Source organism: Homo sapiens, chromosome 6, assembly GCF_000001405.40.
Source record: "Homo sapiens chromosome 6, GRCh38.p14 Primary Assembly".
Lineage (NCBI taxonomy): Eukaryota > Metazoa > Chordata > Mammalia > Primates > Hominidae > Homo > Homo sapiens.
The window spans coordinates 98,829,364-98,850,617 of record NC_000006.12 but is presented as its reverse complement, the minus strand read 5'-3'; the positions used below and the strand labels follow the sequence as shown (position 1 = coordinate 98,850,617).

Here is a 21,254-nt window from a genome sequence, read left to right as displayed (position 1 = left end):
ATTTTATTTTTTGGTTGCTATTATAAATGGGATTGATTTCTTCATTTCTTTCTCAGATTATTTTTTGTTAGTGTATAGAAATGCTACTGATTTTTTGTATGTTGGTTTATATTCTATAACTTTATTGAATTCATGTATTAGTTCTAAAAGTTTTTTGATGTAGTCTTTGGGGTTTTCTATATGTAAGATCATGCCACATGCAAACAGAGACAATTTTATTTCTTCCTTTCCAATTTGAATCCTTTTACTTCTTTTTCTTGCTTAAATGCTCTGGCTAAAACTTACAATACTATATTGAATGAAAGTGGTGAGAGTGGGCACTTTAGTCTTGTTTTTGATCTAAGAGGAAAAGTTTTCCATTTTTCATATGCTCTTTATTTAAAACCAGGTAATCTCAGTTACTTTACACTATATTCAAGAGAATATTGACATATTTGTATTCCACTGGCCCCTATTCAAATTGCCTTCCTTTTTCCTAACTGAAATCAATACAGTATACCACTCCTATCTTTTAAAGTCTAGGAAACCTTAGAAAGGGGTTTTTGTGTTTTAGGAAGTGATATTAAGTATAAACAAATGTCTTCTCCCCAAACATGACCTCTCATAGTTTTAGTTGACTGAATGTGTTAAACAAGGAAAGTTTAATGTATGTCTAAATTTCTTTAAAATAGACTCCTTTCTTTAGCTGTCTTAGAAACAAATAAACATTTGGATGAAAATATGTGGCAGAAGATACATGAAAAAGAAGTGATATGTCTCAAGCAGGTCTCATTCTCTAGCCTGGGTGCTGTTCTTCTATAAAAATTTCTCCACACCATGGATAGCACCTACTACAAATGAAAAATGTGAGACCTCAGATTCACGTACGTTTTTTCTTCCTTCACATTCTTGCAGTTACAGAGGTACCATTTATTAGCATGTATTCTTAATGAAATTTCCTGAATTGAAATTAAGTTGTTTTTACTAGGGTCAGCATTAGAGGTATTTCAGTAAATAGTTAAATGTTGCTGAAAAACCTGCTATCCTGGTGACTTCGTGATATTCCTGGGAGGGGGTGGGGGAGATGGAGGAAGGAAAAGAGAAATAAACTAGTAAAATTAGCACATCTAAAACTGAACACAATTTCTACAATTCTCTTTTGTTCTCATCTGTCTATGCTTGTCCATTTTCTTCCTTAAAAATGTAATCATGGTATCACCATTCTTTTGTCTTTTTTTCCCCCTACAGCCATTCAGGCACCAGTCATTTGCCTATCCTTTTCAAATTTCCCTGACTGACCACTTTGAGTCAGATCTACACCAGCAACCTCCTACCTAGTTAACCTCCCTGCTTTCATCCTTACCACTTTCCAACCTATCCAATGCACTGTGCCAACTCTCTTCCTTCCAGGAGCATTATTTCCATCGGATCTCCCCCTCTACGATGGCTCTTAATTGCCTTTTGAGTCTAATTAAAACTTCTTCCAGACCCTCTACCAATTAACTCCATACACTGTTTCCCTTAGCAGCCCTCTCATGCCAGGTGCCAGCTCCTGCTCCCCGGCCCAGCCCAGCAAACCTGCTCGCCCTCTGCCTTTTCCTGCTTCCTGCCTCACATTGTGCCAGTTCCCTTCTACCCAGAGTGCCTACTCCACTTCTCTCTTCTTTCTGCCAAAGCATTCTTCCTTTTTTGTTTTTGAGATTGCTAAATCACCTCCTAACTAACTTTGATTACTCTAAGGGTCCTAAAGTTCTGCATTTAGGTCTGTTCTTTTGGAAATGCGTGTGTCTTCACGTACCTGCATTATCGACACCTTGCAGGGAGCAGTGCCCACATATCCTGGTTCAGGGACTCCGGCGCTTGGCGAGAAGTCCGGCTCTTTGGGGCTAGTGGCTTGGTCTTTTCCACGACCTGGTGAAAGTTCCTCTACTGCCAAGGCCTTGGCTCATGTCAGACCTGCATTCTCCCTGGATGTTCTGGTTCCTGCCTTGACTTCCCTTTCCCGCCCGTAATGTGCGCTGCCCTGGAGGTCTCAGGCAGCCACAGCCCCCCTCTCCCCCCGACCCCATTGCGGTGGAACACCGGAAGGGTCAGGGCCCTCCAGGCGTTCGGAAGGCAACTATGTAGGAGATAGCACGGGCTGGGGCCGCTTGGGGAGGGGACTATAGGCTGCAGGTGGCTTCCCGGCAGAGGCCGCTTCCTGGTCTTCGTGAGGCGGCTTGGCCTGGGTCCTGAAAGGTGGCGGGGTGGCGGGGGGAGCCGCCAAGCCGAGGCCCCGCTGCTCCCCGAGGCCCCACTGCTCCCCTCTGTGTAGCGGCTTCAGACCCAGACCGCCTCTCGTCACCCCCGTGAGCTCCTGAGGACACGAAGTGTTCATAACTCTTGACCCCAGCACAGCCCAGGAGGCCCTGCGCTGCTCATGCGGCAAGAGGGAGGCCGGGAGGGCGGAAGCGCAGCCCTCTAGCCTCCCGCAGCGAAGCCGTTCCTTCGTCCCTGCTTCGGCCATCGGAGCCTGCCCGACACACACAGGAGCCCCGGCTCCCCAGACGCCAGGCCTGGCTGGGCGTCCCAGGGGCCCTCCGCTCTCACCCAAAGGGGTGCCTGGCCTAGGCAGGCTCTGCTCGAGTGGCGGAGGGACCCCCACATTGCGCCGGCAGAATGGCCCTTGGGGAGGTGAGAGGACTTTCCGAGTGGAATGGGACCCCTAAGCCCACTCTAGGCACCGGCTTTCACCGCAGCGCCACTCCCGGCGACTCCAGGATGTCGCGGGGCGCCTGTGGGATCCACAGCGTCCTGATTTCCAAGTCCAGGGACTGGAGGTGGCCCTGGGCCACTGGGGCTCTCTAGACGGGAGGCGTGTGTGGATTCGTGAAAAGCTGCGGGTGATTAGTGCTGCTGCTGTTTCGTGTGTGTGCTTGGTTTTAAGTGCATGAGCCTAGTATTCTCTTCCTAATCCAGGCTGCTATAAATGACACCACAGATGGACACTATAAACGTCAGGAGTTTGGAAGATGTTGAAGAAATGGAGTGCTTTGCAAGAGTACGGGGCTAGCCATCGCATCACAGGAGCTACAGTCGCTGCAGTCACTGGTATGTGGCGCCAGGGGCCCGACTGATCGTTTCAGCTACAAGTCAGGACCTGAACATGCTAAACACAAAATGTCTCCTGAGTGGCAGCCCCAATTTAAAGCTAAGCAGAATCGGTGGTGCCTTCCCTGGATAATGCAACTGAGATGACTGTCCTGCATTTCTCTTCCCCCACACAAATAGACGTAAGGCTATATGGTTATTTTTAAGTTAGAAAACATTTCTTAAGCCGGGCACAGTGGCTCACATCTATAATCCCAGCACTTTGGGAGGCTGAGGTGGGGGAATTGCTTGAGTTTAGGAGTTCCAGACCAGACTCTGCAACAAAGTGAGACATGGTGGCACATGCCTATAGTCCTAGTTACTGTGGAGGCTGAGATGGGAAGATCCCTTGAGCTCAGGAGTTCAAGGCTGTAGTGAGCTATGATTGCACCACCGCAATTCAGTCTGGGCGATGGAGAGAGACCCTGTCTCAAAAAACAAAACAACAAACATTTCTTATTAGTCACAGCAAAGACCTCCATTGGAGTTGGCAACAGTAGTGCTTCAGGTTGGATTTGCGGTAATTTATACAATGCTTTCATATACATTATTTCATCCGAGCCTTACTTCAACCCTGTTGCAAAGTTTAAAAAGGAATATTATCCACATTCTGCACATGAGAAAACTGAGATCTGAAGATGTCAACTGACTTTCCCCCGTTGCTGGTTAGTAAGCATAGAAGTATAGACAAACACATGTGTTCTGACTGCAAATCCTTTGCCCAGTTCCATTAATACTGCTGGGATCTGCCTGAAGTCCATGTCCTTTCTCTTCTTCTCCTTGTCGTGTTACTTTGGATAAAGGCGGAGGGAGAAAACAACATTCATGGTGCAAATGGCCCATAGTATGGGAGGACAAATGCACTGGGCTCTGAGGGAAGCAAAGTTCAGCTCCACAGGCTGAACTGATACCTTTGGTGGGAGTTTCTAGGGGAATGTTTTCCCTAGTCTGGAAAATTCTTCCATGGATGAGTTTCTGTTCAAGTGATCCACTTTTTAAAAAACTCACTTTTGAGTGGTAAAACTGAACAAACCTACTATAGAGCAAGAAGTGTCTGATGAAAACTGGGCTGGGTTAAAATAGCATTTGCTGGACTCCATTTTTGCTGATTGAAGCATTGTACCTGTTATTAACCGTGGCTTCTAACCTGGTATTCTGGTCTTAATGCCTGCCAAAAGCTGAGGCTCCTTAGAGAGACTAAAGACTTATCTGCTACAGCCTCAACATGTAGGAACTAAGGAACTGGGGAAGTGATTCTTTCTTCCTACCTTTGGGAACTTTTCTGGTATAGAACGTAGTGTCTTTTCTGGCTAAACTTTTCAAATATCTACTCAGGAATTACCTAGAACTAAATGTTTAGAAACCCTTGTAGGGGTCATATGCGTAGTCACCTTCATAAGTGTTTGCCTAGGAGGGGTTGAGGGAAAGAATGTAGAGTGAGGAAGGAGAGGAGTAAGGGGAAGGAGAATTGGATCTGAAACAAAAACAGTTGTGCTGACTGGGAGGCTGTAAAATCAAAGGTAGTTCCGAGCCGATGCCACTGTGGGGCGCCAAAGTTCTACTCGGCTAAGGCCCGCCGCTTTCTTGGGTGCGAGGACAGAAGTCCTGGAGAACAGATGCACTGAGGGAAGAGAGCGGGGAGGAAGGAGGGAAGGGAAAGGAAAGGAGGGGTGGGGCTAGGGTGTCCTTTATTCTCCAGTTAAACTCGCCTGGGAGACTTTGTTACATAACAAGTCTGTGCGTGGGGGAAAGAAGACTTTGTTAGACGGAAAGAAGGAGGGTGTGGGGAGGGGGTGAAGCTCTTAGAAAAGAAGAAAATCTCGGAATACTGAGTTGACTTGGGAGCACAAACGGTCCTCGTGGCTTCAGAGACGCTGGGGCTTATTCTCAAACTGGGGCCACCACCTTTTTAAAAGGGCTAGCGAGGAGGGGAGATAGGTTTGGAAAGGGTACCTTCCCCGACCCGCCACCCAACACATACAAACCATAGACCCCGCCCAACCTCCCGGCCCCTGGCCCCACTTGCTACCCCCTCCTATGCCTGGGGGCTGCTGCCTCCACGAAGCCGGGCTCTTTCTCCTCCGGGTAGCCGCGGCTCCATCTGCAGCCCCCGAGGACTCCTCAGCCGGGATAAAGGGCGGCCTCCCCCGCCTGCCAGCGCCCAGGATGCTCAGCCGTCAGCTGCGGGGAGGCGCTGATTTCATTCCGGCGCGGCTTTCGCTGCGGGCGGCGAGGGGCGGACAGGCCGGGGCCCGCGGGGCGGGGCGGGACGGGGGAGGGAGGCAGCGGCCGCGACCTGGGGAGGCTGAGCGCCCCGGCCCCGCCAGGATTTATTACATCCCAGCCACTGGCAAAGGTTAGGAACGCGCATTTGGAGACGGGATAATCCAAGTTTAAATATTAAAAGTAAAAGCAGAATCGGTCGAATATTTACCTAGAGACTGAGCAGATCAGATCTCCCTTTGCGAGGGGAGAGGACTGTGGAGGAGCCCGGCTCCCAGGCCCGCGGCTCTAGCGCTGCGCTTCCCCAGTGGCATCGCCTGGGACGGCCAGGACCCACTTCTGAAGCTTCCTCAGACTGTGGTTAAGGGGGGCGGACCGCGGATCCCCTCGCTCTCCCAAGTCTATCGGAGTCGGTGGGGCTTGGTCCAGATCTTCTGCTTTGTATATTCTCTTTTTTAAGGGCCTCCCGGACCAACACAAAAGGTGGCGGAAAGTACGTTGGATCAATAGCAAAGATTGTTATTTAGATAACGAATTAATCTCCCTGTTATAGTACTTTTTGTAGTGAACTTTGCACCCCTTTCATAAGAAAAAGGAATTTAGAGAGAGAAGAAAGTCTCAAACAGGATTAAGGTTTTAATTACAATTCCCTATCGAAATAGTATGTTTGATGAGCTGATCTTATCAATTAATAGTAACATTAAAGCACAAGAAACAGATTCACGGAAATATGCTTAAAGGAGCCTTTAAAAAGTAATCGCACTCGGGGAACTAGCGGGGCAGGCGGCCAGCGATGCTGCGTCCGAGCAGATTTCGGAACCCCCCTCTGCTCGGACTGGTCCAAGCGGGGCGCGCATCTGGGGCGCAGGATGGGGCGGGGGCGGCGGGCACGGCGCTGGGAGACCAGGCTACGCTGGTGGGAGGGAAATAATAAATAACAGACGCCTCTTCCAAGCCGAGGCCCACATCAAAGTTGGGGCCCCACAAGGGCCGTGCAGTTCACTGCATTTGGGTCAGCGTTATATTCCAGGGGCAAATAAAGTAATTTGAACATGCACCAACAGTTTTCCATAAAATACGAGTTAAAAGAAGTAATAGAACTAATCACTGTCTCCTCAAATCAAGTAGAAAACATTTCAATGCACTAATTAGAGTAATTAGAATAATAAGCCTCTGCCTATATGTGGTAAGACAATGTGTACAAACAACTTTATTTAATGTATACTGGTAATCAGCGATGCGTGCCTGCTTGAATGCTTAGCGCAATAAAACTACCCTCCGTCCGCCCAAACAATCAAACACAAATTAGTTTAATGATTGTGCCTGCTGAATGTCTTAGAAATCTACAGGCAGAGGCGAGTAAATAGAAGCATCCTTGTTTGCGTGCGACCCCGCCCGGGCTGGCCGCGGGGCCGGGTGAGTGGCCGCGGGCGGGTGCGGCGGGAGCAATCGGGAGGCTCCGCCGAGCCTGCAGAGGCCAGGCCCGGCGCCAGCACAGACCTGCGCCCCGCAGGAGCCCCTGCTGCTGCCCTTGGTCGCCTTCCCACTCCTCTCCGGCCAGCTTCCCGCCTCTGCGGCCCTGCGGTGCAGTTCTGGGCCCCAAACCCGCACATCCCCAGCTCGGCCTCACCTCCTCCGAGAGGCGAAAGGCCGCTTTAGAACTCTCCCACCGCCCGTTTGCGACGCTTTTCAGAGCTGAGTGATTTCCTCTCCCGGGGCGACTCCTTCCAGGGGCCTCGGAGGGCTAAGGGGGATTTCTGCGGGCCCTGAGAGCCCCCAGTTCGCGGAGATGGACTCTAGGCCTCCAGTACTGAGGCGCGGCCCCTCACTTTCCGGGCCCTCAGCTCTGGCTTGAGATGCCGGGGTGCCCAGAGGGTCTCCCGGGCTCCCTTCTCTAGGGAACTGACTTTAGGCCCAGCAGGGGAGTGGTTTCCAGGGGGTCTAAGAATTCGTTTTCCCCCGTGCTTCAGCTCTTAAAGAGTAGGTTCCTCTTCATTGGAAGCAGGGAGCTGAGGTCAGAAACACCCAGAAGTTTGATGGGTGGGAGCTGAAGGAAACCTGCCTCAGAACTTTGCTCCCCAGCTCTCAGCTGTCCCCCTTCATTCTCACAAATACCGCCCGCCCCCCTCAAAAAAGCAGGAAAAGCCCAGATTACTGTACTTCCCTGGGCAGCTGTCCCCCTTTCCTCTCCAGTCTTCCTGCACTTGTCTCATCTCCCTCTTTCTCTTGGGGCACCATCTTCCACAGTTGCCTCTGCCATGCAGGTGCAATGTCCTGGGCCCGACTCTGCAGAGTCAAGTGGAAAAGCCGGGCAGGCAAAAAGCTAGGAGACTCTCCTCCGGGCCTCGAACCCTTGTCACTCCTAGGCCCACTGCACCTCTGCCCCAGCCACGCGTGCCCCCAGAGAGGGCTTGCCAACTCCTGCGTCTAGAGCCCACTTTCCCGGGGCGACGGCTATACCCAAGACATCTGGACTCCTAATCGCCACCGCTAGCCTCTGCTGGGGGCAAACCCACCAACCGTGCCCGTTACCCCTAGCCCGCTTCCTTGGGAAGCGATAGAGTGGAACAGCTCGACGTCCGAGCTGTTGACCCTTCCCCTGGGGGTCCGGGCGTCGAAGCCTGGGGAGCCGCAGAGAATCCCTGATTTCCAGGCAGGAACTCAGGGGCTGTTGGCAGCGTCCCGAGCGAAGGCCGGGGCTGGGAGTGCAGGGAGTGCCCCGCTCCTTTCCCTGTCTCTCTCCTCCCCGCGCGGCCGAGCTAGGCTGTCTGGGCCTTCGCGACAGCGGCCAGGGTCCCCGAGGTGGGGGGTGCGCGGCAAGGCCAAGGTACCTCTTTTGCGACTGGGCAAGGAGCAGATGTTGGCCGGCAGCACACTCGCCCGCCTTGTCCAGGTGCTGCACCAATTTTGAAGCAATATTTGTTAGGGGAACAACATCAACAAAAAGTTATTAATGCCAAATAATTGTCTCCAGAATCATGTGCTGTAGAACATAACAGTTCCCCTGACGAAATGAGATTTCTTAACAGGAGGAGGAAAAGAACTCCTAACACTTTCCACATAGATTTGCCTGAACCTTGAAGCCCAGTGATTTACAATGGCTAATTTGTGTTACAAACCCACAAGAAACTTTCTTTTTCCCATCCTCCTGCCAAAGTCTCTGTGGCCATATTTTTTGTTGTGTGGCCTTTTTTTCCTTCTTTCCTTTTTAAACAACAAACCCAAAGGAAACACTGGTGGGAGGAAAAATACATTACCCAAATAAAAAAGGACGCAAATTCAAATTTAGTCCACAGTGAGATTTCCTATTGCCGTCGCTCGACACACAGAGAGTTAATCTTATACAATTCATAACAATCAAAATCCCCTCCATATCCCTCAGATGGGGTCCTAGTGCTCCCCTGTCTTCCTAAAATTGGTGACAACTACGTCTTTGTGGGGGATTTATTTCCTTCTTTTTTTCTAGGTGACAGCTCCCCATTCTGAGAGCAGAGAGCTGTTTGCCGCCAACTAGAGACCACTCCAGAGCCTAGGCTCTTCACGCACAAACCGCATATGGAAGTCCCCCCCTCCCCAAATCCCAGACAAAGAGCTATAAAAACTCAGAAAGACATGGAAGGAATAAACTTTAGGCTATAGATGCACTTTTACTGGTGTATTAAATAACATTTCAGACCTTTTTTTTTTAAAAAAAAGAAAGGCAACTTAATCTTACCAACAATCAGAATTCTAGGAACAATAAAAGAGGCCAGGATTGTTTTGATGGGATATTAAATTATTTCTAAAACCTCTAACAGCTAAGTCAAGCAGAGGTGTCTTTAAGATAAAGGAAGGTACTATATGATTAAGTTTATTAACTTTTCTTCTTTTAAAGGAGGGAACAAATTTCCCAGTTTCCCACCAAACACCAGAAAAATGTTAAAATATTCATTGTTTCCTTATCTCCTTATCAGCCAAGCAAGGCCTTAGGAAAATGAAAAAAGCCATTTTCTGGTACCCTCATGCCTGCCTGATAAGGAGGCATTAAAATAACACAGGACCAGTTCTGAAAACCTGGGTCAGTTAATTCCATGATTTGTTAGCTGGGTGGCAGGCCCCTGCCACTTTTGCCTTGTTTCCCATCCTGAATCAAATGGTGGGAATAGGTAGCAGAAGCCCTGATTCTTTCCTATGGCCATCTGCCCCTTGTTAAAAGAATATGCATCATTGAAAAGTAAACTTTCCTAAACAGGGAAAATGTTTATAAAAAACTTAGTTGTACATTCCATTTAGTTATAATATCAAGATTCATAGTACTCCAAGATGCATCTTTTTCTTTCATTTTAAATAAACACTGTCCTTTGCCCTACTCACTGAAATATACAAGCAGACCCAAAGAATCACTTTTACCTTTGACCCTCACTTCACCAGCCTTCTTTCTTTTTCTGTACAAGTTCCATTCTTTGCCTGATTTTTAAACTTGTGTTGAAATTCAATAGAATGTAGAACAGAGTTCTATAAACTGTTTGAAAATTCAACCAAGACAAATCACAGAGACTAGTGATAGAAAGATAATTTAACCTGGCTCCCCAGCACTACTCAAACTGCCTCCAAAGTAAGGCAAGTGAAAAGCAAATGAATGCAGCATATAGACATACGTGCAGGTACCAATGCACCCAAATGCCACCCCCTCCCCCATTGCTGCTGTTGCATCTCTTTATTAGTTGCTTTTGAAAAAAGAAGGTAGATGAGTGTCTTTACCAAAGCCATTTCACCAGAAATTTTGCCAACCAGTGTGTGGCCTCCACTGGTAGGAGCAGGAAGGGAAGAGGAAGAGAACAGTGCTTTTGTTGCTACCATCTGAAATATAAAGGCGGCTACTTCGTGGGAACCGAGAATGTTTAGGACGGCCAAACGTAATATTATTTGTGGCTATTCCCTCCATCTGACCTTCACATAACTCTTTTTCACATGGTCATTTCTCCCCCATATTATTACATAAATTTTACAAGTAACATATTTTGAAGAAACACAGGAGGTCTTTGGGATAGCTGTATTCTGCATTGTCTTAGGAGAAAGAAAGGGTTTGTTGTGACGGCTAGCCAACATCTTAGGGGCAACTGCCCCAGAAATTTCTCCCAGTGGCAGTGATGGGGTTTTCCACCTTAGTGTGTAATACATTCCCCAAACCAGTGTGGCAACTATTCGAGTAGCCTTAGGATCTGAACAGAAAGCATGGGTCAAAACCATGGTGTGCACGTTTAACATGTGATGGTTTCCACTCAGCAGCCCCTGTGGCTAAGAACAAAAATGCCTTCTCAAGGTCCACTAAAATGCCCTGCAGAGGGCAGATGCTGCTTGTTTTCTGCCTGCAGTGGAGGAGAATATTGACCCAGAACTCAAATCTATACCCAGCTTAAACATTTTACCCATCAGCATATCTGCGGTCACAAAACACTTCTTCTTTCTGTCGCTTCTCATTCAGACTATTGATAAGATCATTTGGTGGAATCTGTTTGAGACCCATGTAATATTGACTAGGAGTTAGAAAAGATGATCAGATGTAATAAGCCCAGAAACTACTTTTCAAAATGGACATTTATACTTAAACCAATGTTCCAAGGAGGGCTTTAAATACATCAGCAAACTTGTAAACTGATCCAACACTGCTTGAAATTCTCACTAACCTTAAAACGGATTTTGGTACTGTTTCATCTAAGATTGTCTGAAACAATCTGTTATTAGCATCACGGCTTGAATCTCTCCCATATGTTCTTTTTTTTTCTTTACTTGCTTTAAAGCCCATTTGTATGCCTAATGAAAAATAGACACAATTGTATAAACCATTGTAAAATTCATCTTTTTATGCAAACCAAACAGGAATAATGTATAGGATCTACTTCTAATCATTTAGTAAACTCACAATAGTATACTATCAGGGTTATTCTTTGTTAAGAGATATTTGTAAATTATTAAAAATAATAATCTACTAAATCCTGCTTTTCTGTAGATCCCAAATTATTTGAGGACCTATGGGTAGAGATCAAAGTCCACCTAGTTCCACTGATGTTCTCCAAAACAGCACAATCGAATAAGGTATAGTTAACCTGGAAAGAAGATGCAGGCATATCTGCATATGTTTAAAGGGGACAAACATCTCTTTGTAGGACCATGAAATGGCAAGCAAATTGAAGCTCAAACCCAATGACCATTTCAATTTAATGCTACAGGCATAGTGACTGAAAGATTTGGGACTGATAGTTTTTGCAAAGTAAAGTGAATTAGACCAGTAGTCTCCATTAAAAAAAAAAAAAGCCTCTGAAAGTTATGAACATCAAATCTGGCAGTATATGCATAAAATTTATTCCAAAACTTTATGAAGTATAAAGGAAGGGAAGTGTTTTACACACAACTCAACTCAGTCAATTTAAGGTCTAGGGTTTTCCCCCCTTAAAACTTGGCACTATCTTTAAAAATAAAATAAAGATATTTCAATAATTAGAACAAACTATGAAGGTATTGTGCATTTCTGTTTTATGTAGATAATAAAATATTACTTTAACATAAATATATAAGGATCTCTGCGTTTTTATTTTCCCCACAAGCACAACCAAATGTACCAAAACAAAGTATTTTTTAAGAGACTGAACAAAAAAATTACATCCCATATAGATTTTGCTCACCTATTCATTTAAAGCTACAGAAAAACAGTTTCCAGAACCTTTTTGTTTCAAAAGAAATAAATATACATTGAGGCAGGCCACTTAAAAATGATATGAAAATATTTCCCTGGGTAGCATTAAAAAAAAAGAAAAATAGACAAAGAAACATTTAAACTATTTCTGCATTTCAAAAGACAGATATTAAACATATATACATAGTGGTAAGGTTCAGTGGTAACTTTCATCTTAGTAAACCTATAAGAGTCAGAGAAGCTGTAGACACATTCTCTGAACTCCAGCTTCTGACCTTACCTACTTGGTAATAAGTATCTGGAAATTCATTTCCTCCCTTTACCAGTGGCTATTTGCCCTGCTCTGGATAGCTTCACTAAAGGCCAGTTCCCATACCTCAGGAACGAGCAGCGTGATGCACCCGAAGCAGCTCCGTGCCCATCTCCTTGTGACATTCATTGGGGGAAATGAAATACAGGCAAATAAATATGCCCATTATAAGTCACCATTTATCTTGCAAAAACATGGAAAATGAAACAATCACAGGTGTTTGAAAAGACAATATAAAGCATATTTCCTAAAACCTTAAAGACTACTGAGTGCAATGCTAATCTGATGCTGAACCATAATTTTATGGTAGTGAGACTTTCATTTTTTAAAATAAAAATTTATCTAATACCTAACTGGAAAAAAACCCCCAAACTTTTAAGATTAATAAAAAGTGTTTTCCCTTTTAGCGCCCTTTTGTGCTGATTTTTCTTTTAAATTTTAACTGATCACAGTTTAATGGTATTTATTTTCAATACAGTTACAAGTTTTTTCACCTACACTTTCCAGTAGAGTCTTTTGTGTTTGGAGTTAACCGTTTTCCATTAAGATAAGGTCAAAAATTCACTTAAAACTATTAACAAAGGGGAGAAAGGAAGGATTGAAAATGGCATTTTTTTTTTTCACTTCATTTGCCTTCCTTAGTGAAAGAGGGGGCAGAAAGCTGTCCAAGTCAAAGTGGTGTATTCTGCAATAAATTACAGGAAAAGAGGGTGTGGGACCCTAAATATGACTTGATAAACAAATGAGCTAGTGAAGACAAAACCTGTCTACTGCGTGGAGATCGTCAGTGTATGCTGTGGGTATCTGTGTGCTAAAAAACACAGTCTTATGCATACACTATTAAGTTCCTGGGTCTTTTTTTATGTAAAAAAAAAGCTATTAGAGAAACAAAGTTTAACTGCTGCTGTCAGCACAAATAATTCTTCATAATTGTTACTAAAACTGAAGGTAGAGAACTATATAGGGATATCTGAAGATATGTACTTCCCTAGTTCTCTTCAAAGTGCCACTTTCTTTCTGCTGGACAACTCTGGAAATATATTTAACCTCCACATTTCCCCTGAGCTCTTTCACAATGGGCCCGCCTGATAAAATGAAGCAATCAGTCACTCACTATCGATTTTTCTTTTTTCTTCCCTCCATAACCTCCCCCAGAAACACTGCCTGAAAATGAAGTTTACTTTGTGGCTGGTAAGAACAACCAATGCTTATTTTTATATTCCAAACCGGATTCTTGCCTTCGATAAAGCGGGTAGACCATGCACATTTCCTGAAATCAGAGAATTGTCTATTTTGTATGAAGCCAATCCTTTTGCTTTGGTAAGAGGAACAAATAGATGTTACACCCTCGTAAGGGGAATGTGAAGGTAACCAAAGTTCACAAACAGTACGAAGAAGGGGCAACACAAGAACATTAGAAATGGAGAGTGGCCAAGAGCTGGCTTCAACTCTCTCCGATGAATAAAGCAAAGCAAAACAAAATCCCCCAAAACGGCAACTCCCAAATTAACGGTGGGGAGAAAGAGAAAATATGCTCATGAATTTGTTCACGTAAACTTCAATTTTCTTGCAGTGCAAATTTATGTGGTTAAATTTTGCCTATATGAAAGAACATGTGTATTTTTTCCTCTTTCCTGATGGGAATCCACAATAAATAAACACAGCAGCATGTGCCAACTCTAAGCATCAGGAAGCTGCATTTTGTGTTTATCATGGTTTGGTGGATTTTTTTTCCTTTTTGGTAATTTATTTAGTTTTGCCAGGTATTTATCTCAGTGCTTGCCATCTCTCTGTCTCTCTCTCTTTCTAGCTATCACACACTCTCCTCACTCTCTCCAGGAGACACTCCACTCCATTGCCTGGTTACTCGCCTGCAAAGGTCAAAACACATCATTACACCTGCTACCTTTAAAGGATAGTCCAGTGTCTTAGTTGCTTTCCTTTTGCCTTATTTTTTTTGTCTTTTTAAGGGACGGGGAAATAATAATTAAAAATAAAAGAACAATCAGAAGTTAGAGAGGGAACAAGAGGGCCGGGAAAGGGCCAAGGACCGAAGGGGAGGGGGAGCCCCGCGCTCTGCCCCTCCCCCAGCTCGAGTTCACTGGACGGGCGTCTGCACCCCGTGGTGTGGTGGAGTGTCCCTACTCCCCCCGTACACATCCTCGGCGCCCGGCAGAGTCCCTCCGGGAGGGGTCATCCTTTTCTCTTTCTGTCTCCTGTTACAAAACCAAACTCTCACCACCTCCTTCTCCAGCTGTAAGCTGTCCGCGAGGGAGGTGATCTCCTGGGCCGAGGGCTTGGGGCATTTGAGGAAATGGCTCTCCAGAGCCCCCTTGACGCTCACCTCGATGGAGGTCCGCTTTTTCCGCTTGCGCCCTTGCGCTGCGATCTTGTCTATGCTCGTGGGGCTGCCCGAGGACGAGTCCGCCTCCTCCAACCACTTGTTCAACAAAGGCTTCAGCTTGCACATGTTCTTGAAGCTCAGCTGCAGGGCCTCAAACCTGCAGATGGTGGTCTGCGAGAACACGTTGCCATACAGGGTGCCCAGAGCCAGCCCCACGTCCGCTTGGGTAAATCCCAGTTTGATCCGCCGCTGCTTGAACTGCTTGGCGAACTGCTCCAGGTCGTCCGAGGTCGGCGTGTCCTCGTCCGAGTGCGGGTCGTGGTGCGCGCCTGGGTGGCCAGGCGGACCCTGCGGGGGCGGCGGGGGCGGCGGCTGCTGGTGTGGGTGCGAGTGCGGGTGCGGGTGGTGGTCGGCATGGTGTGGCTCGTCGTGCGCGTCCCGCAGGCCGTGGTGGTGCAGACCGGCCGGCTGCCCGCCGGCGCCCAGCATGCCGTTCACCGTGAAGCTGGGCTGCGAGTAGAGCAAGCCGCCGTTGGACGCTCCCATGGAGGGTGGGAGGTGCGCTGCAGCCGCCGCGCTCCGCCATGCCCCGGGTCCCGGGTGGTGGTTAGCGGCGTGGTGCACCAGATGCGGCGGCCGCTGTTGCTGCTGCTGCTGCTGCTGTTGCTGCTGTTGCTGCTGCTGTTGCTGTTGCTGCTGCTGATGCTGCTGCTGCAGGGCGCCTGGCCCGTGCAGCTCGTCTCCGCGGCCGCCCTGCTGCACCACCACCGAGGGCTTGATGTCCGGCTGGCCCAGGGGGCTGGTGGACCACGGGGAGCCGTCGCCGCCGCCCCCGCCGCCGCCCCCGCCCCCCCCGCCGCCGCCACCGCCCCCGCCGCCGCCGCCGTGGGACAGCGCGGTGATCCACTGGTGAGCGTGGCTGAGCGGGTGTCCGTTGCTCTGCAGAGCGCCGTAGTCGCCCTGCACCAGGCTCTGCGCTTCGCGGTAGCCCCCCGCGCCCTGCTGCATGCCGCCGGGCGGCTCGGCGTGCACGATGGAGGCGCTGGAGGTGAGCAGGCTGTAGTGGTTAGACGCTGCGGTCGCCATGACTCTCGGAGCCGGACTGAGCGCTCCGGTTAAAGGAGCCGCGCATTTGACAGTTACTTTTTCGCCTCGGGCTCCCTCTCCTCGCTCGCTCTTTCTGTCTCCTCTCTCTCCCACAGCGGGCAGCTCCGACGCCCGCTCCGACGCCTTCTGTTGCTGCTCCTGCTATTACTGCTGCTGCTGCCGCCGCCGCCGCCTCCCGCCCGCCCTCGCTCTCTTTCTCCTCCTCTCCCTCCTTCTCGCTCTCGCTCACTCTCTGACTAGCTCGGCGCTCCCCCCTCTCCCTGCTCTCTCCAGCTCTCTCCCGCTCTCTTGGCAGCGCCGGCTCGCAGCGGCACGCGCCTGGGCCCCGCCCCCTCCGCCCCCTCCCATTGGCTCCGCGCCCTTTGATTTACGTGGATACCGCTAGCAACCTCCCAGGCCGGCGCCACTGATTGGCGCAGAGCTACTCCCTCCCCCTCCCCCGGGCTCGGAGTCCTCCTAGCCCTCCTCCCCGTCCCCTTCGCCTCCCGATTCAGATTCTCTCAGTTCTCACCCCCCCGCTTCTTCCTCACCCGGGGCCTCCTCCGCCCTCTCTCGGATGGGCCCCGCCCCCCATCTGTCTCCCAGGCAGAGAAGACCGGCAGGGGGGCGGTCCCGGTGCTCTTATCGGCCACAGACACTTGGAAGACTTGGATTGGGGTGGGGGGCGGGAGGCAGTGGTGTCCACTTTCGTTTCCCAATAGGGCTTTAAGATGGGGAAACGGAGGGGGTAAGGGAAAAGCTGGGTCGCACCGAGCCAGCGGGAGTCGGATTTTTATTCACCTAGGGACACACACACAGTGTGTATCTCTTAAACCTAGAGCCAAGAGCCAGACCTGTTCCCCTGTTCAACTCTCCTTGCATCCCACGGTTAGAATTTCAGTGCACAAGTGTCTCTTGCTCCAGGGTGTGCGGACACTTCGGCCCAAAGCTCTTCTCCTTCCCCTCTACCCCGCGGCTAGCACAGGCTCTCTTCCTTTTAGGTTCCAGGCCCAATTGTCTCCCACTCCCTTGGGGAAAGAACCCCGAGAGAGGCAGGCTCAGCCCGCACCGCGGCTTGTAAGTCATTCCCATCAAGGCTCGGAGTTGCTTGCTCTGACAGCGTAGCGGTCTGAACTGAAAACCAAACAAAACTCTAAAAGTCTCTCCGTCAGATTCACACGCCGGCGCGTGCAGTTTTTGGTTTAGAAAACTAGAAGCCTGCGTGGGCTCCGTCTTGTGCGAGGCTGCCGGAGTGCTGGCGAGGGGTGTGCGGCCTTGTAGGGGCGGCGCAGTCGCCAAAGGCCGCTCCGGGAAGCCGCGCGGAGGGCCTGCGTGCGCGATTCCCCGTGCTCCTACCGCTGGTAGGTGCAACTTTTCCGTTAGCCCCTTGGGAAGGAGGAAGAGTGTGTGAAGCAAATGGGCTGATGCCAGGGGAACCTTCCTAATCAGTAACTTCGGTGGGCGCTAGCGGGTGGGGTTAGTCTATGTCTTTGGCGCTCCCTGGCCAAGCTCCCAGCTCAGCTTTCAGCAGTGAACTCCAGAGCAAGACTATGGGACCATGCACCCGCAGCGCCGCTCTACGGAGCGCGGGCGCGTCGCGCCATCAGTTCTTTAGCCGCCCAGAGCAGGTGCCGCCTGCGAGTTTCCGAGCCTGCAAGCCCGGTAGCTAGAACTTGGGCGCGGACCCAGGCTGGAGCGGCGTGACCGCCACGCAGGGCCGGGTGTGTACATGGGCGCTGTAAAGCGAATCAACAGTTACTGCCGGGAAGGGAATGACAGACCCCAGGGAACCTGGATCGCGTCCCCACCTCTCACCCCTCGCTCTATCGCTGGTTTTGCCGGCGGTCGTAGGCTTGAGAGGGCAGCCAAATCAACGCTCAGAGGGAGCATTTTGGGGCCTCTGAGCATCTGAATCCAGACAGCAGACTGGAGCGGGCCAGAAAATTCATCATGACTAACAAGGAGTCATGCTCTTTGGAGAGTGGCTGAGCTGTTTATAAATCACCACGTTGAGCACCCGCCCGGGCAAGACGCTTTGGCTGAGAATTTCCACGTGTCCTGTGTTTATGAGCGTGTGTGGGGGAGAGAAATGGATAGGGGAGGGGCGAGCCCACAGGCCGCCAGCAGGACGGACCTGCACCCCCACCACGCGCGCACCCGCGCGGCGAGGCGAGGCGAGGACACACACAGCGTGTCGCTCCGTCCCAGCGCAAGCGCGGGGCCACTCTGGCCGCGCGCCTGGGGGCTGCTAGGAATCCCATAACTTTGTCTAGCTAGGAAAAAATGAACAAGTCCGAGCCTCAGCGCGCAGACTCAGCGACTGGTGCCCGCGGCTCCGCAACCGCGAGCCAAGGGGCTGGGTGGCGGGCAGAACCGCCTTCTCCCGGCTTCGGCCCTGCGTCCCCTGTGCTAGGCGCGTGACTTTCCCTGGGCCTTGGGGAGCGCACAGACAGCCCGCCAGCCGCATCTTCTCCTGACATGTCGTGCCTTTCTTTTCGCGGACCTGGAGCTCAGAGCTCCCACGGACAGAAGAATCCAGCCCTGGGGAAGGGCCGCGTCCAAGTGCTAAGCAGCTCATACTTCTCCCCCACCTTTCTGGGGCAGGTGTCTGCTTTTCTCTGGATTTAATTTCACATTTCTCGAGGCACAAGGCCTTCTGCAGCCCATAGGATGATACACTCGAAAGAAGAATGAAGTTTTCAAACACATCTTCGAAGGAACTGAGGCGGCCTGGCTCTGAATCAATTTAAAAGTTCCTCCTCCTCTTATCTTTCTCTCCACACCCCACCCCACACCCCCGCCCTCCTCCCGGCATAGGGCGCTAGTGTGAGGGGACAAGAATAGGCTGCACGTGTACATCAAAACTTCCTGTCTGCGATAGGACATCACCGGCGATTAATGCTGAGATCCTTCCCACGTTGACTTCCCAGGTCTCAACTCCAACTTCCATCCCCGTCTCATTTCGCTGGCGGCCAAGGAGCCGAAACGTTCCCAACAGGGTTTAATATACCCAATAAATCCCCGGGAGTACACAAAGAAATAGCCTACCCGGGGCCTCAGTCTCTGCACCCCACCCCCACCCCCAAGCGCGGCCAATCACCGGGCGGGCCAGGCTGGGCTCGCACCGCGGCTCTGAGCAACACCTCCCCACGAGCTACCGCCGCCTCCCCTCCAGGCGCCAGGGGCCCGGTTGGCGCGAACGCCGGGTTCCGAGCACCCTGGGCTTCCTTGTCTGCCTCCCAGCGCGGCACCTCTTCGGGGCTCCCGAAACCTGAGCTCTCGCTGGTTTTAGGTCCAGACTGGGGCCTCTCCACCGGTTCCTCCCCCGCCCCGGGCTCTGGGGCCCATTCTTTGGGCTGACCCTGTCAGGGCAGAGTCCGCGCGTCTGCCTGCCATTCTCCGCCCGCATAAAAGCACGTTGAAGGTGTCTCGGGCAGACACCTCCAGGTTTTGAATCAGTTTATTCCCTTTCACTGTTCAAAGCAGCTGTTCAAATACACAGGCTGCTTACGTTGACGTGGAGAGGATTTCAAACAACGCTAAAATGCTTTGAACTGACAAGGTGTCTTGATATCTCCCTCACTCCATCCAGCACAGCTCCTCGAGATCACTCGCTAGGACAATGGCTGAGCAGGCGATTCGTGCGGGCCTCGCCACCTCGGGGCGCGGACTGCGGGGTGTCCTAAGCCCCTTCCGCAAGGACAGGATGGAGGCACCTGTAAGGAGATGCTGGCGCCACCCCAGCTTCTCCCAGGTCCGGAGGAACCTCTACTCAGTCAATACCCTGAGCTGGACTTGTCTGAAGAAACGGAGCCGACTCCCTCTTGCCGGGGTGCGCTGAGTGGAGGGGAAACATCCTCGAATAACAGAACTACACCAAAAAGACACCCATGTTATCTCTCACACTTTCACACTCCTCGAGATAGTGAGCCGGACCTGGGTCTTAGTAGCACCCAGTACCTTGACACAAACCTCCCAAATTTCCACCTGAGTAACAGTTATGGGGTCAGTCCATGCACTGTAACTTGAACTCTAATTTATTAACTATTTCATCTAGTAAACACACTCACACCATATATAAAATAGCATTTATTTATTTCTATATACCAGGAGTTGGCAGAAAACCCACCGTGACCACTCCCATACATTGAGCTGGAGGCACACAATTACTAAAACAGAGGTGAAATGGTATTCATTTGATCTTAATTTTTTCTTATTTATGTAGTCCCAGGATAATAGAAATCAGGAAACAAAAGAAAACAAAGAATTTTCTGAGGAGATGGCCATTGGGGGAGTGGAGGTAGCAGCTGGTTTAAACCTAAGTAAAACTAGAAAAAGAAACTGCTGTTTCCTTTTTCTTATATCCACCTTAGAGGATCATGTTTGAACGTCCCTACTCCTCCTCCTCTTTTTAAAAAGCCTTGTCTCAGTCATTCATTCCTGTGCTTCCTGCTCTTCTGCTAGACCCCAGCAGCTGTTTGATTTGGTGAGGCCCCCCTCCAACCTCTGAGTGGAACTTCTTTTCTAAGGGCCTGCAGAATGTCAAAACTGAGGCTCTGGCTTCGGAGCTAGAGCTTTGAACAGCCAATCCACACAAAAAGGCAGCTGGCTGCTTTAATGAAAACTGCTATAAAGCTTCAAGAACTTTAGCCTTGGGGGATGCATTTATAAGGAACATGGAAAATGCATTTCCAAGTTGCTGGTTCTTGGGAGAGACATAATAAACATTTACCAAAAAAAAAAAAAAAAAAAAAAGGATAGAACTTACTATCTTTAATTATGCAGCAGCATATTTTTTCCTGAAGAAATAAAGCTTCCAATAAATTTGTATGTTACTGTCTATACCTATATTTTGCAAATTCCTAAATGTGCATCTGTCCTTGTGTAATAAAAGGTCTTGAAGAATGAAAAGTTTTCTGAAAGTTGAAACTCTCCTACGTCATATGCTTGGCAACTCTGTCCATACCTCACATACAAACAATTCTATTTTACCTTCACTACTGTGTAAACCAGTGAAATATAATGTCCTTAATTCAGTATTTGAAATAAAATTATCTGTATTTATAGATACTAATATCTTTCCCTTTTTCTTCAAGTTATAAATTTTATCATTAAAACAGTCCCCCCTTTGTAGTCTGCAAGTGAATATTTTATATACAGGGATGGCTTGAAGACATCTAACACCATGTCACCCAGATAGTCTAGCTGTTTCAAGGATTACTTTGAGTAATTTATCAAAGGAAGCCTGCTAAATCCTGAGCGGTGAATATGAGGCCTTAGGAGGGAGAAAACATAAAGGAAGCATTCCGTCGGTGTATAAGATAAATTCTGTTTGGAGGAGTTAATATAGCTTGTTTATACGAAATCTCAGAAACAGAACAAAAATCTCAGAAACAGAACAGGAGACAATTGGTGGCTTCCAGTTTGCTTCCCGCAATTTCACTTTCAAAGGACTAACAGTTAAATGACCTCTTAACAATGGAGCCTAAAGGTGTCTGTGTGTGTGTGTG

The 21,254-nt window shown here is 49.1% G+C and overlaps 1 protein-coding gene and 2 long non-coding RNA genes across 3 annotated transcripts, besides 6 other annotated features; 1 reads left to right on the top strand and 2 right to left on the bottom strand.

The window, feature by feature from the left end:
- Window positions 1–352: 352 nt before the first annotated feature.
- LOC124901364 (uncharacterized) lies at window positions 353–3,609 on the bottom strand. Its single transcript, XR_007059690.1, has 2 exons — window positions 1,778–3,609; window positions 353–1,044 (listed from the first exon to the last, which is right to left on the bottom strand). It is a non-coding gene; the product is annotated as an uncharacterized LOC124901364 (long non-coding RNA).
- Window positions 2,192–2,411: a silencer, noted in NCBI's record as "silent region_17412". NCBI's record gives its function as "represses an Ori minimal core promoter by ATAC-STARR-seq in GM12878 lymphoblastoid cells {active_cell/tissue: GM12878}" and the evidence as "EXISTENCE:reporter gene assay evidence [ECO:0000049][PMID:35858748]".
- Window positions 2,522–2,641: an enhancer, noted in NCBI's record as "active region_24851". NCBI's record gives its function as "activates an Ori minimal core promoter by ATAC-STARR-seq in GM12878 lymphoblastoid cells {active_cell/tissue: GM12878}" and the evidence as "EXISTENCE:reporter gene assay evidence [ECO:0000049][PMID:35858748]".
- Window positions 3,610–11,159: 7,550 nt separating the features above from the next.
- POU3F2 (POU class 3 homeobox 2) lies at window positions 11,160–16,044 on the bottom strand. The gene has a single exon (NM_005604.4). The coding sequence runs from the start codon at window positions 15,742–15,744 to the stop codon at window positions 14,413–14,415; it is 1,332 nt and encodes a 443-aa protein (NP_005595.2). The 5' UTR covers window positions 15,745–16,044; the 3' UTR covers window positions 11,160–14,412.
- Window positions 14,135–14,730: an enhancer, noted in NCBI's record as "H3K4me1 hESC enhancer chr6:99283764-99284359 (GRCh37/hg19 assembly coordinates)". NCBI's record gives its function as "activates a minimal SCP1, AML or CMV promoter by ChIP-STARR-seq in naive H9 embryonic stem cells {active_cell/tissue: H9 hESC(naive)}" and the evidence as "EXISTENCE:reporter gene assay evidence [ECO:0000049][PMID:30033119]".
- Window positions 14,731–15,327: an enhancer, noted in NCBI's record as "H3K4me1 hESC enhancer chr6:99283167-99283763 (GRCh37/hg19 assembly coordinates)". NCBI's record gives its function as "activates a minimal SCP1, AML or CMV promoter by ChIP-STARR-seq in naive H9 embryonic stem cells {active_cell/tissue: H9 hESC(naive)}" and the evidence as "EXISTENCE:reporter gene assay evidence [ECO:0000049][PMID:30033119]".
- Window positions 15,326–15,395: an enhancer, noted in NCBI's record as "active region_24850". NCBI's record gives its function as "activates an Ori minimal core promoter by ATAC-STARR-seq in GM12878 lymphoblastoid cells {active_cell/tissue: GM12878}" and the evidence as "EXISTENCE:reporter gene assay evidence [ECO:0000049][PMID:35858748]".
- Window positions 16,034–16,103: a silencer, noted in NCBI's record as "silent region_17411". NCBI's record gives its function as "represses an Ori minimal core promoter by ATAC-STARR-seq in GM12878 lymphoblastoid cells {active_cell/tissue: GM12878}" and the evidence as "EXISTENCE:reporter gene assay evidence [ECO:0000049][PMID:35858748]".
- PNKY (long intergenic non-protein coding RNA PNKY) lies at window positions 18,918–20,477 on the top strand. The gene has a single exon (NR_148381.1). It is a non-coding gene; the product is annotated as a long intergenic non-protein coding RNA PNKY (long non-coding RNA).
- The last annotated feature ends 777 nt before the right edge of the window (window positions 20,478–21,254 follow it).